This window comes from Homo sapiens, chromosome 2, assembly GCF_000001405.40.
Source record: "Homo sapiens chromosome 2, GRCh38.p14 Primary Assembly".
In the NCBI taxonomy this organism is placed as follows: domain Eukaryota; kingdom Metazoa; phylum Chordata; class Mammalia; order Primates; family Hominidae; genus Homo; species Homo sapiens.
In genome coordinates, this window is record NC_000002.12 from 113,360,643 (window position 1) to 113,375,726 (window position 15,084).

Consider the following 15,084-nt stretch of genomic DNA (forward strand, 5'->3'; position numbering starts at 1 on the left):
CCTACATTCCAACCTCCTTGCCAAATTAATTTGTGGATTAGAGAATATTTTGGTTTGTAATTGTGGTTTAAAAAATGTGTTACCGCAACAGAGCACAGTGTATTAAATGTGGCCTGGGCCATTTCTAATTCCTTTATTTGGAACCCTATACTTCTATGAATGCAGTCTAAGTTTGCATTTGATTTTTGTTTTTGTTTTAGCAGAGAATTGGCTTATACAAGCTATGGTTTCCTGACACACTGAGGTTTTAATGCTCTGGTGAATTAGGGTATCTTTTATTTGGTATTTGTTCAACTGATTTTGGGGCGTTAAATCTAAGACTTCTATTTGTCTTCTTGGTAATAGTTCAGTGTTCCAGTCTGTTTCAATTCTGGTGATGCCCATGGAAAACAGGTCTTTGGTGCCTCAAATGTGTTTCCATGCCACATTGCCCAGTGGCTGAACCTGGGGCTTTTGCCCAACCTGGCCCTATGCAGAGGTCAGGAGAAGGTCATGGGTTTGTTGAGGCTGGGCTGCCTGGCGCCACCCTGGCCGACCATCCACTTACAGGTGTTCTCAAGAGTAGCTGGGATCTTGGCCTGAAACAACTTTGGTGAAGAGCATGGCTGACCCCTCTGAGAAGGGCTCTTGTGTGACGCTGGACAACTCCACCAGCACAGTGGGGCCTCTGGGCTCTGCAGGCCATGCAACTGTCTGCCTGGGCTTTTCCAGCCAGACCTGGCACAGGCCTGAAGACTGCCAGGATGCTGGCTTGCTCTGTGTCTCCTTAGCCTCTTTCCCTATACAAATAGAATGCAATTCCTCTGGAAAATTGGCACTTAACTGAGTTTTATAGGCAGGTCTGAGTGCTGGCAGGACCCATGCAAGAGTGCAAATGAATGCCTGAGCCCTCCCTTGACCCCATTCCCAGTTCTTGTCTGAATCCTGAGGGGCTTGTGCACAGATGGGTGGACATCTTGACCCTTCAAAGGCCTCCCCCAAAATATCCACCCTTTGACCACCCCCTGACTACCCCCAGGTTAGCCGTGTGTACTGGAGCATGGGCTATGTGAGGAGGGGCTGCAGGTGGGCTTATCCCCTTGGTCCCCCAGGTGCTTCTCCTCATTGGAAGAGTCATGGCTGAGGAGGCCAGAGCAGAGCCCGTGGAGGCACAGGGCCTGGGGCAGGGATCCCGGAGGTCCCATGTAAGGTGATATTGTTCATGAGCAAACTGCTTAGTTTGCTTTTTGGTTGGTCCCTGCAGATCTATATGCTTCTGTGTGTTGGGATAAGAGGCAGGTGTAGGTGTCTAGAAGGAGCAGCTGAACCTGCATAGAAAGAAAACCCCAAATAAAAAGGGGTCAGATCCAAGTCTAAGGGAGCTCTGCTGTACTTGCAGGTGAGAAACCTCAAGACCATGAAAGACACTGAGACAGTGGAAATGACACTGACCAGGGGTCAGGGAGCTTGAACTCTCATTCTGGGCCCTGGGCACTGAATGAATGTTCTGACCACAGATCTCAAGGCATTTTGGCCCACAAGAGTTCAAGGCCCAAGGTATGAAAGAACTCGCCTGCAAGTGGCTCCCAGATCCTCTGAAAATGAACACCATGTCCACGGCCCTTGCACGCCTGTGCCCTGTGGCACCTCGGCCTGTCACCTCCCCAGTTCTAGAGGAAAACATGTCTCCTCCCCAGTTCTAGGGGAGAGCATGTCTCCTCCCCAGTTCTAGGGGAAAGCATGTCTCCTTCATTTCTGGGGCCACCCAGGCTTCCCTGCACATCTATTCAGTATTTGGTTCCTATGCATGGGGATAATGAGACTCTTATTTAATTCAAGTAATTTCAGTTCCATCCCATTCAACTCTCTCCCAGCAACTACAACTCTGTCTTTTATTGCAACTATCATTTGCTTTTTTGATGGAGGTAAAACAGAAAATATAAACAGACGTTCAAAATAACCCCCCTGCCTTTTCCTTCATATTTTCAAAGTGCTTTCCCATAAAGTATTTCATTACAGACTCCAGCAGCTGCTGTGAAATATGGTCTCAGATGTAGAAGCCAATGAAAACCAAATGAAAAGAAATCCTAAGAGCAGAAAAAAGGAGAGAGTAGTCCTGCTAGGCCCACAGCCCCATTTCTGCCAGGACTGGGCAATGCCCAGGTACCTGCTTGTTGCTTGAGGGGACTGTTCAGAAATTTCTCCTCTTCTCCTCCTACTTCTCCTGCTCCTCCTGCTCCTCCTCCTTCTTCTTTTAGGGACAGGGTCTCACTGTGTTGCCCAGGCTGGAGTGCAGTGTTGTGATCATAGCTCTCTGTAACCTAGAACTCCTAGGCTCAAGAGATTCTCCCACCTCAGCCTTGAGTAGCTAAGACTACAAGTGCATGCCACAACACCTGGCAATTTCTTAAAAAGTTTTATTGTAGAGATGAAATCTCGCCATGTTGCCCAGGCTGGTGTCAAACTCCTGGCATCAAACCATCCTCCCACCTGACCTCCCAAAGTGCTGGGATTACAGGTGTGAGCCACTGCACCAGGCCTCATGTGTCTTCTAAAATCCTCCTTTATTTCTTAATTTCTTCTTCCTGTATTACACTGCTTCTTCGAAACAAAATTCTAAAATCTCACAGCTGGAAGTAGCTGTAGTCATTATTTAGGCCAGTGGTTCTCAAAGTGTGGTCCCTGGGTCAGAAGCATGAGCCCCATTTGGGAATTTGTTAGAATCGGTCTCAGGCCCCACTTCCGACCTGCTGAGTGTGAAATTCTGGTGGTGGCGGAGTGGGGGCAGCTGTGTTTTACCAAGCCCTCCAGATGGTCCTGATGCACATCCAAGTTTGAGAACCACTGATCTGGGCCAAGATCCTAATTTCAAACGGAGGCCCTTGGGCAGAAGGGTGATGTTCTTTGTCATACAGTGTGACACGGTCAGCTGCAGGGCCCAAATGAGAAGCCAATCTCCCAGCTCCTGTCATGATCCACTCCCTCTGCTGACCTGTCTACAGAGCAGTTTCTCTGGCCTGCATCCCACTCCATGCAGAGGCGCAGAGGACAAACCAGACGGGCAGCTCGTGTCCCCAAGATGGCGGGTGCCATTGCTGCTGGCCGCCCGAATGGTAAGGGCTTTGGAAGGTGCATCCTCTGAGGACACATGATTTCTGAAAAGCAGAATACACCCTCCCACCTGCTCCCTGCACTTCGTTTGGTCTTTTTTCTTCAGACAAATCTGCGACTGAACATGTTCAATGTCTCCCCTGCACCAAGCAGATGAATGAGCCTCCCGACAGACTGTGTGCTCTCTCTAGCATGTTATCTTGGGTTATGGAAATTGGGTAGGTCTCCCCTTCTTCAGTTCCTCCCCACACTTGGAGTCCATAAAAGGCAGGGATATGGGCAGCTTGATCCTGGACACCAGCATTCTTGGGATGGTGTTGAACACAGTAAAACATGCTTATTAAATGTCAACACTGGGCACGCATACGTGGATATTTACTGAGTGGCTACCACATGCCAGATGCGCTATCAGGCCTCGCTTCCTCCCTCAAGGCTTAGTGGTCAGTGAGTCCCCAGGGCCACACTCCAGCCCATTTCCACTGCCAGGATGCCATGCCTCCATCCCATGTCACCCCTCCCATTTCTCTTCCCTTCCCTTGATGTCCCCATGTGCCTTGTGGTCCTGATGGGATGCAGAGAAGCACTCACCCCAGGGGGCCTGACTCCCCAGAACAAGAAGGCAAAGTCACTCACTGAAGAGGGAGGCAAGGGTGCAACCAGGTGCTCCAGAGGCCTGGAGAAGGTTCTGGGCTCCAGGACAGGGAATGTGCTTAAAATGAATATGAGATGGTTAAGATTCTGCTCAGCGGGAGAGAGAGACAGCAAAGGCTGGATGGGGACCTTCAGCCTGACCTGAGGTTTTGCCACAGACTTGGTGGAACTTTGAGAAGCAGGGGCTGCAGTAGGTTAGAGAGGATGGTGGAGGGGCCTGACTTCTGCATCCAGGCTGGATGAGACTCATGCCCAGTGGACTGGGCGAGGGGAAGCCCAGAGAGATTGGGGACCCTGGGGAGACCAGAGAGGCAGGGGTGTTTTTCAGGGATCTGGGGAGGTGAAAACCATAGTGGTGGGAGTGAGGCAGCTCCCAGTGTGAGGATGCTAGACAGACATCATCCCAGGGATTAAAGCTGGTCAGAAACAGTAAGTGTAGTAGCAATGTTTACTGAGCCCAGGCCCCAGGATAACTGCTTAGCATGCATTTTCATATTTATCCCCGACAACAGTTTTTCCAGGACCTGTAATGTGTCAGGTACCATCGAGGTCATGTCACATTCCTGTTTCCTTTAGTTGGCCTCTCCACACCCCAGATCAGGAATCTGAGGAATAGAAATGCTTCTTGACTTGCCAGGGATCCTCGGCTAGCAGGGAGCCGAGCTGGTCCTAGATCCTAGGTCTTCCGACTTGAAACTCACAATTCTTTTGCAAATGTCTCAGTTGGTTCTTTCTAGTCAGAGAAGCTAGTGAGAGTGACATCCAGAACAACCTAAGGTAAAATCCCACCAGGGGCTCAAATATCTGGTGCCCCCTGAAGCCTGTGCTGGAGAGAGGGAAGAAAGAAGCAGGGAGCTGTGACAGGTACTCAGAATCTACCAAGCAGCACTCTGGCACCTCAACATGTGGCATCATGGAAAGCTCATAAGATTTGTGCTCAGAAACTCTGTGCTGCTCTTATTACTGAGATGCCTCCAGAAGAGACTTGTGTGTACTGGTGGCTAAGAATGCATGCTGAGGTTAACTCTCAGAGCTGCCAGGAAAACCAAAGGAGAGAGTGGCTGTGAGAGTGTGCCACAAAGCTCACTTGGAGTGATAGGACTTCTATTTATTTATTTGACAGGTGTCTATGAGCACCTGTCATGTCACATACAGATACTTGGGGCCTCAGCCATGACAAGTGTCTAGCTCCCAGCAACATTACAGTCATAACCAAAGAGTGGTGAGTGCCACATCTCATAACTCCCCCAGGTCATTTGTAACTTTTGAGGCCACTCTCTTCTTTTAGTCCTAATAGAAGCTGCAGTTCCTGACCTTTGGCCCTTAAGTAAGTTGGTCAATAAATGCTGTCTTAATGCTTTTATTGAGTAGATTTCACCTGGGGGTAGAACAATAGCTCACAGGACAGGTCCTAGACAGGTGGGCTTTTTCTGCAGCCCAGACCCTCTTGAAGTAGCTTGGGTTCAAGATTGAAGCCTCCTTGCCTTTGCTGCTCAAACCCATAGACTTAGGGCTCCTTCTAGGGGAAACTTCACCTCTGTTCCTGGTTGTAAGGCCTCCCTTGAAGCACTATATCTGAGTATAGAAGTACTACATCTGACGTAGACGAATACTGGGGAGGAGAATGGTGAAATCTTGCACAAGTTGGCAATTTCAGGGAAGTAGAAGAGAGTGACTTTCTCAGTAGGCATGCTCTTAACTAGTTCTAAGTAATGATTTGGAATGTTTTCATGTTTTACCTAGCTCAGTTTGGTCTTTGGTTTGGATCTTTCTTGTCCTCTGATTTTCAGAAAAGAATGTCCATTCTGGTCTCAGCTCCTCCTCCTTAGGGCATTTGGATCACTCACTGAGCTCCCAGGCAGAAACAGAGTGGAACTTGAGTTGGACCTGCCATGTACTGTGTGACCTTGAGCAAGACCGTTGACTGCTTGAACCTGAGTTTATTGAACCTGTGAAATGGGAATAAAATTATTCACCCAGTTTAGATCAGGATCAAACTACCATCACCACCACCACCACCACCACCATCACCACCATCACCACCACCACTACTAACCCTCTTAACCGAGTGAGCATTTATTGTGTCCAGTGTTGTGCTACGAACTTTACATGAATTATCCCATTTAATCCCTACAATGATTCTATGATATAGATGTTAGCAGCACTCTGAGTTTGCAGGTAAGGAAATAGAAAATGCCAATATAATTTGCCCAAAGCCATGCAGTTAGGAAGTGATGGGACAGAAATTTGAACACAGGCAGACTGACTCCAGGGTCTGAACTATTCAGCCTCTGCTGCAACTTAGGAAGCAGGTCTTGCCTGGTTCCTCATCACTATTGAAACTTCTCTTTATCTTTTCTCGCTGTCTTCCTTCCACTTGGATAACTGGATTCACCTTTCATTAACCTGGATTCAAAGAAGCAAGAAGGCATCTCTTCCATGCACTGACTAACTTCGTTGCAAGCGTGCTGCTTTCATCTTTTGTGTACCTAAAGATGCCTGCAGAACCACATCCAACATGGCTGATACCTGGACCTTTGTGTATCAAATAGCTTGGGAGGGTCATGACTGGGCCTGAGAAGAGGAGACAGTGGCTTGTGGAATGAACTCAATTTGTGCACTTTCCCAGGGCATGGGGGAGGAAATGACAGTGACTTGTTGCTTGGGAAATGCTGATGGGTGGCCTGGTATCTTGGGAATGTGCTCAGGCAACCAGGGGATGTTGTTCCAACCTCTCCTTCTCCTCCTCATTCCTGGGATGGTACTTTGGACTCCTCTTCACTATTCCCAGGCACAAAAGAGAAATATGACTCTGTCGTTTGTCGATACTCTTAGTGCTAATTTAATCACAACAAAACTCTACGTATCGGTATATGCCTGCTTCAATGCTAGTATTTGATGCTATCTAATTTACTCCTGGCAGTCCTGTGAGGGTGCTATCATTACCCTCATTTTATAAACAAACAAACTGAAATTAAGAGATGAAGAAACTTACCCAGGATTGCACAGACAGAAAGGATGAAACTGAGATTCAGATACAGAGCCTGGATTCTTAATCACTGTGTTATATACTGTGACCCATGGAGTCACCCCAGGCACTTCCCCAGTGCAGTGTCCCACTCTGAGTGGGTCCACCCTTGCTTCCTTTGTAGTGAGCTAGGCTGTACACATGGATCCATCACCTGGGTGTCTGGCCCAGGCCAAGTTGCTTGGCTTCTGTTTGTTCATGTGCAGCACCATGGTCATCACAGTGATGTGCTCGCCCCACAGAATCATTGCAAGAACATACCAAGGTAAAGCGATAAAACATACTTTCAACTCACCAGGCATTTGTTCAGCTCCAACTATTAACTAATGCTAAATATTGGAGGAGGAGGTGACACCCAGGGGTTGCAGGCTCAGGGAGCTAGAGATGTGAACTTAGTAGCCCAAATCTGAGGGTGGGTATCTTAAATGCAAATAATATACTTAGGAGAGGCTGAGGAGAAGATAATTCCAACATTGAGAAATATTTGGAACAGGTGGTCTGAGCCAAGGTTTGAAAGACTTCAAAAGGTAGGCGGTAGGATGAACAGGTACTTCCAGGCTATGAGAACAACTTGACTGACTACGAGAAAAGAGGACATAAAGCATGTGAATGGGTGATGTATGTGCAGGAGCCAAGAATCTGTCTTTCTGCCTGTGGGCTCCATAGGATAAGGCAGTGGCCAGTTGTCTTAGCATGTTTAGGCTGCTACATAACGCTGCTATAACAAAACACCATAGATTGGGTGGTTTATAAACAACGGAAATGTATTTCTTATAGTTCTGGGGGCTGGGAAGTCCAAGATCAAGGCAGATTGGATATCTGGTGAGGGCCCGTGTTCTGACTTATAGAAAGCACCTTATTGCAGGGTCCTCACATGGCAGAAGGGGTGAGGGGCCTCTCTGCAGCCTCTTTTATGAGGACATTAATTTCATTCCCATAGGCTCCACCCTTATGATCTAATCATCTCCCAAAGGCCCCACATCCTAACACCTTCACCTTGTGAATTTCTGAGGGACACAAACATGCAGATAATAGCACCATTCTGAAGCCTTTCAAGCCATGCAGAAGACTTCCACATATATTCTCATATTTTCCATGGGAAGCTTCGCCTGGGTTTTACAGAGGAGTGTCATGATGCCATCTATTTTAAAAAGATCCCTTTGGGGCAACACTAGAGAGACTGGGTGAACCCAGAGGCTGGAAGGTGGGTGAGGGGGGTCTTGCAATAATACAGGCAAGAGGTGATGAGGGCCTGAGTTCAGGCAGTCAAAGAAGGGATGGAGAGGAAATGAGGGCTGCTAGAGACATTTGGAAAGGAGAACAGACAAGTATTGGACAGGAAGGAGAAGGAAAGGACTTCTTCCTCCCATAGGGCAGTTCCCCTGCACCCCTGCAATACACACCCAGCTTCCCCACACACTTGGAGGTGGCCTGGCAGAAGAGAGATTGACATTTCTCTTTATCTGCTGGCCTTTTAACTCTGTTCATAGCCATGAAGTCACCTTCTTTTTTTTTTTTTTTTTTTTTTTTGCCTTACTACATTTGGATGATTTTCCTTATAATGATTGTCATAGTCATAACTATAATAATTATAGTGGCAATAATAAGATTCTGAATGGCTCCAGAGCCTTTCTTCCTAGGATGTTAATGTGTGAGGTGGGGGTAGGAGGGTTCCTGGCAGGAATATTATTAGATCCAATTTGCTGAAAAGTCACTCTCTGCCATTTGGAAAGAATCTGGCCAAGAGGGAAGCATTTCTGGCCTTTGGAGCATGGACTTGTTCCCAGATGAGAACCCATGTTCTCCATGAAGACTGGCAAGGGGGTTCCTGCTGCCTGGTGGGGTATGCTAAATGCCGATTGGCTGCTCGTGATGGAGAAAGGTGGAGAGGTATGCTCCAGAGCTTTGCCCCTCTCCCGTCTCTAAGAAGCCTTCCCACAGGTCTCTGGTGGACAATGACTCCTCCGTGCCTGCCTCAGGCTCTCCTATTGTTGGGCTGTATGATTAGCATTTAATCATAATATACAATATATTGTAGCATTTTATGAGTTACAAAACCTGTTTGGCTTCATTATTTCATTTAAACCTCCTAGCCACAGAGGTTAATATTATTATCATTCCCTCTCTACAAATGGATTCATTTGTTCAATGAACTTGCATGGAGCAGATAGTGTTAAATACTATGAAAATGAAGCATATGTGGTTCTGGGGGCTTCACCCCCAAATCAGGTACTCAGAGGTAAAGTGACTAAGACCCCAAGCAGAAGACTCTGATTTTCTTTCTCCAAGTTGCTTGCTCTCTTCTTTATTCAGCATACTTCAACAGCATACTTCATTCAGCATACTTCAACAGCATACTACAGTTACCCTAACTTTTAATTGTTCAAACTACCAAATTTGAGCACTTTACTGCTTCATGTTTCAAATGTTCATTTTGTCTTCCCAGACACATGGGAAAAATCTATATAAAAAAAGGACTTTACCAATTTACTTTTATTTTTATTTTGAGATGGAGTCTTGCTCTGTTGCCCAGGCTGGAGCGCAGTGGCATGATCTCGGCTCACTGCAACCTCTGCCTCCTGGGTTCAGGCAATTCTCTGTCTCAGCCTCCCGAGTAGCTGGGATTACAGGCGCCCACCACCATGCCTGGCTAATTTTTTGTATTTTACAAAAAATACAAAAGACCTGGCCAGGCTGGTCTTGAACTCCTCACCTTGTGACCCACCCTCCTCGGCCTCCCAGAGTGCTGGGATTATAGGCGTGAACCACTGTGCCCAACCAACTTCACTAGTTTGTTATTATTAAAGCCCATTTGTGGTAAGGAGTGTCAAAGTTTGTTTATACTTAGTAGTTACTGATCAACTATTACACAACATGTTTGGGCATACAGTAATTGATCAATAAATATCAGTAAGCCAGAGGGTTCCAACTCTCCAGCCTTAGCTAACTTCCTCTTAAAACACGGGTTTTATCCTCATCGTCAAAAGTATTTCAAGCACTTTATTTCTGGAACATGTGGAATCTTTCCTTTTAAAGTATTTTGTAGCCAGTTGCAAAATGATGCTGATATTTTGGAAGAATATTAATGTGCCCATCATAAAGGGAGAATAGTTGAGGCTAGGTAGGGGAAATTTGAAGTCCCAGCTTCCTTGTCTGGCTTGATGGCTGGTCTTCTTAGCATGTGAGTTAATTAGACAGATATGGAAGGATGGAAAGCCAGAGGCGCCTCACGTTGACGATTTCTCTCCGAGTGCTCTCAGTGCGCAGCACAGAGGATCTCTCGATTGACTGGACGCATGCTCCCACCTTGTGGTGAGATTTGATATCCTCTGGTCTTTTTTCGTCTGTACATCCTGCTGGGGAAAATGCAACCATTTAGTCAGTGAATGTTTGCTGAGCTCCAGGTGTACTCCCAGGCAGTAGGTACTGGGATACAGACATGAAAGAACAGACAGAATTGTCCTCTTGAGGCTTACTTTACTGGATATGTGTGTGTGTGTTGGAGGGGAGGGGGATGTAAGATGGGCAATAAAAAATTTATACAGATAAAAAACAAAGTAATTTCAGATAGTGCGAAATACTATGACAATGAAGCAAAATGATGCAATGGAGTGACTGGGGAGGAGACCTGTTTCAGTTGGGGTAGCCTGGGATGTTTAAGCCCAGGCTGACTGATGCACAGAAGTCAGGCTTGCGATGGAAGTCACCAGGATAAGGGAGCAGAATGAAGGCCGGGGGGATGCCTCATGGTCTGCAATAGGAGAGTGCTTCCAGATGTGGAAGGAGAGGCAGACAGGGGCCAAGTCACAGACACTGCCTTCTAGGCCACTCCAGGTGCCATGGAAACCACTGAGAGGATTGAAGAAAAGGGACACTAGTTTGAAGTGCCTCGTGAAGCTCTTTGCATTTGTGTGTGGACTTTTCCTTAAACGCAACAAGCATGTGCAAAGGGCCATGCTTGGAGCTTCCCCAGAAATTGTGAGCAGAGACTCACACTGTATCACTGCACCTTAGAATCATCTGGGGAATTTTACAAAATCCTGTTGCCTGGGCCCTACTCATGAGCAGTTAAATCAGAAGAGCTGCAAATGAGGCCCAGGCCTCAGTGTTTTTTGTTTGTTTGTTTTTGTTTTTGTTTTTGAGACGGAGTCTCGCTCTGTCGCCCAGGCTGGAGTGCAGGGGCGTGATCTCAGTTCACTGCAAGCTCCACCTCCCGGGTTCACGCCATTCTCCTGCCTCAGCCTCCCGAGTAGCTGGAACTACAGGCTCCCGCCACCACAGCCGGCTAATTTTTTGTATTTTCAGTAGAGACTGGGTTTCACCGTGTTAGCCAGGATGATCTCGATCTCCTGACCTCGTAATCCAACCACCTCGGCCTCCCAAAGTGCTGGGATTACAGGCGTGAGCCACCGCGCCCAGCCGGGCCTCAGTGTTTTGTCCAATCTTTTCAAGTGATTCTAGGGCACCACCAGAGCAGAGAACTGCTATGTGTCAGGGAACCTCAGCCTCAGCTGAGGGTGGTCAGTGAGAAGCTGACTGTTAAGGCAAGGGCCCCCAGAGGGTCTGGGGTGAGGTTCTGAGACAGTGGACTTTGGTGTGTGGGGCAGATCATCACAATTATGGGCTACAAAGGGAGAAGGAGAAGAAAGCAGATTGCAGAGCCCTGGGTATGGATGAGAAAGAGCTGGCTGAGTCTGGACTCACTTGGCTGCATGATTGTATTTATGACAATGGAGGGAAGACAGCTGCAGAAAGGGCACAGATTGGAAGGGCGTCAGAGAGAGGCCCGCAGAGGCAGACTGGTGGCTCTGGGGCAGGTTTGGAGGCTCCTGATGGCACCTACCCTGTCTTAACGCTTCCCACCCTAGCCTGTCTCCTAGAGGCCTCTTCTCTCCTCAGAAGTCTCCAGTCAACACAGTTGCATAGAAACTCAAGGCTGGATGCTAGGCTCGCGTCTTCTTGGCAGCTGGCCTTATACGGGCACACTGTCACAGGCACCAGGCTCTGTGTGGATAAATCTTCAATGCTGTTACGGTTGCACGCGACAGCAAACCCAACCCAAAACTGCTTAAGCAAAGAGGACATGTACAAGCTCAAGTGACAGAAGAGTTTAGGGCGTGGATTTAGGTGTGGCTTGATCTGGAACCAACCACTATGGCCAGGGGAATGCAAGGCTCTGATTGGTCCAGCCTGAGTCACATTCGGCCAATGGGAGCGGGGAATGGAGTCAGCACCACCGTCCAAAGAAAAGGTCTGAGAGTCAGGACAGCAGAAGAAAATCATCGGTGCTCTTACGTCAAAACTGGGGCAAAGGCATGCTTGTATGACCCGAACCAGGCAATGTTTCCTGTGGTAGTCCCATAACATGGAGGAAGAGTGTGGAGCTTATGATCTTCCTTGTCTGATTAATCAGTTTTGGTAACTGGAGGCTGGGCTTGGTGATTTTGAGGTGCAAAGGCTGTGGCCTCAAGTTTGTTGAGGGATGATGTATTAGTCCATTTGCTGCTGATAAAGACATACCCAAGACTGGGCAATTTACAAAAGAAAGAGGTTTAATTGGACTTACAGTTCCACGTGACCGGGGAAGGTCTCACAATCATGGTAAAGGGTGAAAGGCACTTCTTACAGGTCAGTGGGCAAGACAGAATGAGGAAGAAGCAAAAGTAGAAACCCCTGATAAACCCATCAGATCTCGTGATACTTATTCACTATCATGAGAATATTATGAAAAAGACCGGCCCCGTGATTCAATTACCTCCCACTGGGTCCCTTCCACAACACGCGGGAATTCTGAGAGATACAGTTCAAGTTGATATTTGGGTGGGGACACAGCCAAATCATATCATTCTGCCCCAGGCCCCTCCCAAATTTCATGTCCTCACATTTCAAAACCAATCATTGCCTTCCCAACAGTCCCCCAAAGTCTCAACTCATTTCAGCATTAACCCAAAAGTCTACAGTCCAAAGTCTCATCTGAGACAAAGCAAGTCCCTTCCGCCTATGAGCCTGTAAAGTCAAAAGCAAGTCAATTGCTTCCTAGATACAATGGGGGTACAGGCATCGGGTAAATACAACCATTCCAAATGGGAGAAATTGGCCAAAACAAAGGGGCTACAGGGCCCATGAAAATCTGAAATCCAGCAGGGCAGTCAAATCTTAAAGTTCCAGAATGATCTCCTTTGACTCCATGTCTCACATCTGGGCCATACTGATGCAAGAGGTGGGTTCCCATGGTCTTGGGCAGCTCCACCCCTGTGGCTTTACAGGGTGCAGCCTTCCTCCTGGCTACTTTCATGGGCTGGCATGCAGTGTCTGAAGCTTTTCCAGGCACACGGTGCAAGCTGTCTGTGGATCTACCATACTGGGGTCTGGAGGATGGTGGCCCTCTTCTCACAGCTCCACTAAGGAGTGCCCCAGTAGGGACTCTGTGTGGGGGCTCTGACCCCACATTTCCCTTCTGCACTGCCCTAGCAGAGGTTCCCCATGAGGTCCCCACCCCTGCAGCAAACTTTTGCCTGGGCATCCAGGCATTTCCATACATCTTCTGAAATCTAGGAGGAGGTTCCCAAACCTCAGTTCTTGATTTCTGTGCACCCACAGGCTAAACACCACTAGGAAGCTGCCAAGGCTTGAGGCTTGCACCCTCTAAAACCATGGCCCCGAGTGCTACATTGGCCCCTTTCAGCCATGGCTGGAGTGGCTGGGACACAGGGCACCAAGTTCCTAAGATGCACACAGCATGGGGACCCTCGGCCTGGCCCCAGGAAACCACTATTTCCTTCTGGGCCTCCTGGCCTGTGATGGGAGGGGTTGTTGTGAAAGTCTCTAACATGGCCTGGAGACATTTTCCCCATGGTTTTGGGGATTAACATTAAGTTCCTTGCTACTTATGCAAGTTTCTGCAGCCAGCTTGAATTTCTCCCCAGAAAACAGGTTTTTCTTTTTTATCGCATCATCAGGCTGCAAATTTTCCAAACTCTTATGCTCTGCTTCCCTTATAAAACTGAATGTTTTTGATGGCACCAAATCACCTCTTCAATGCTTTGCTGCTTAGAAATTTCTTCTGCCAAATATCCTAAATCATCTCTTTCAAGTTCAAAGTTCCACAGATCTCTAGGGCAGTGGCAAAATGCTGCCAGTCTCTTTGCTAAAGAGTCACCTTTACTCCAGTTCCCAACAAGTTCCTCGTCTCCATCTGAGACCACCTCAGCCTGGATTTTATTATCCATGTCGCTATCAGCATTTTGGACAAAGCCATTCAACAAATCCCTAGGGAGTTCCAAACTTTCCCATATTTTCCTCTCTTCTGAGCTCTCCAAACTATTCCAACCTCTGCCTGTTACCCAGTTCCAAAGTTGCTTCCACATTTTCAAGTATCTTTTCAGCAATGCCCCACTCTACTGGCACCAATTTACTGTGCTAGTCAGTTTTCACGCTGCTGATAAAGACATACCTGAGACTGGGCAATTTACAAAAGAAAGAGGTTTAACTGGACTTACAGTTCCACGTGGCTGGGGAAGGTCTTACAGTCATGGGGGAGGGCAAAAGGCACTTCTTACATGGTGGTGGAGAGAGAGAATGAGGAAGAAGCAAAAGTGGAAACCCCTGATAAACCATCAGATCTCATGTGACTTATTCACTATCACGAGAATAGTACGGGAAAGACTGGCCCCCATGATTCACTTACTTCCCACTGGGTCCCTCCCACAACACGTGGGAGTTCTGGGAGATACAATTCAAGTTGAGATTTGGGTGGGGACACAGCCAAACCATATCAGATGGGAAGAGTTACTTGTCATAAGTAGCATACTGGACAATGACAGGCTGTCTTGCTTGCTTTCCCACACTGCCTCCTTCCCCAAATAGAGTAATTCCCTTTGGGAAAGAAATGTCTGTCCACAGTGACAAAGAGTGGAAAGAGGAAAAGATTACCCCCTGTCCCCACCTCCATTCCATGGTTGGGGTGATATGTAGAGACATTTTCTTTTAAAATAGACTTTATTTTTTAGAGCAGTTTTAGATTCTCAGCACAATTGAGCAGAAGAGACAGAGGTTTCCCTGCTTCCACCCCACAACTTCCCCATTATCAACACTGCACACCAGAGTGGTACGTTTGTAACAATCCATGCACCTGCACTAACACATCATTATCACCCAAACTCTGCAGTTTCCATTAGCGTTTACTCTTAATGTACATCCTATGAGTTTGGATGTACACGTATTTACCTTACTGTTTCCTTAGTTTTGCCTTTTCCAGAATATGGTATAGTTGAAATCATATACTATGTGCTCTTTTAAGACTGGTTTATTTCATT

At 47.4% G+C, this 15,084-nt stretch overlaps 2 long non-coding RNA genes across 2 annotated transcripts in view; one reads left to right on the plus strand and one right to left on the minus strand.

Moving 5' to 3' along the window:
• LINC02966 (long intergenic non-protein coding RNA 2966) overlaps positions 1-15,084 on the plus strand; it is a 101,028-nt gene that overhangs the window by 35,605 nt on the left and 50,339 nt on the right. The gene's annotated exons all lie outside the window — the stretch shown is intronic.
• LOC107985936 (uncharacterized) lies at positions 9,750-14,352 on the minus strand. Its single transcript, XR_001739651.2, has 2 exons — positions 14,269-14,352; positions 9,750-10,122 (listed from the first exon to the last, which is right to left on the minus strand). It is a non-coding gene; the product is annotated as an uncharacterized LOC107985936 (long non-coding RNA).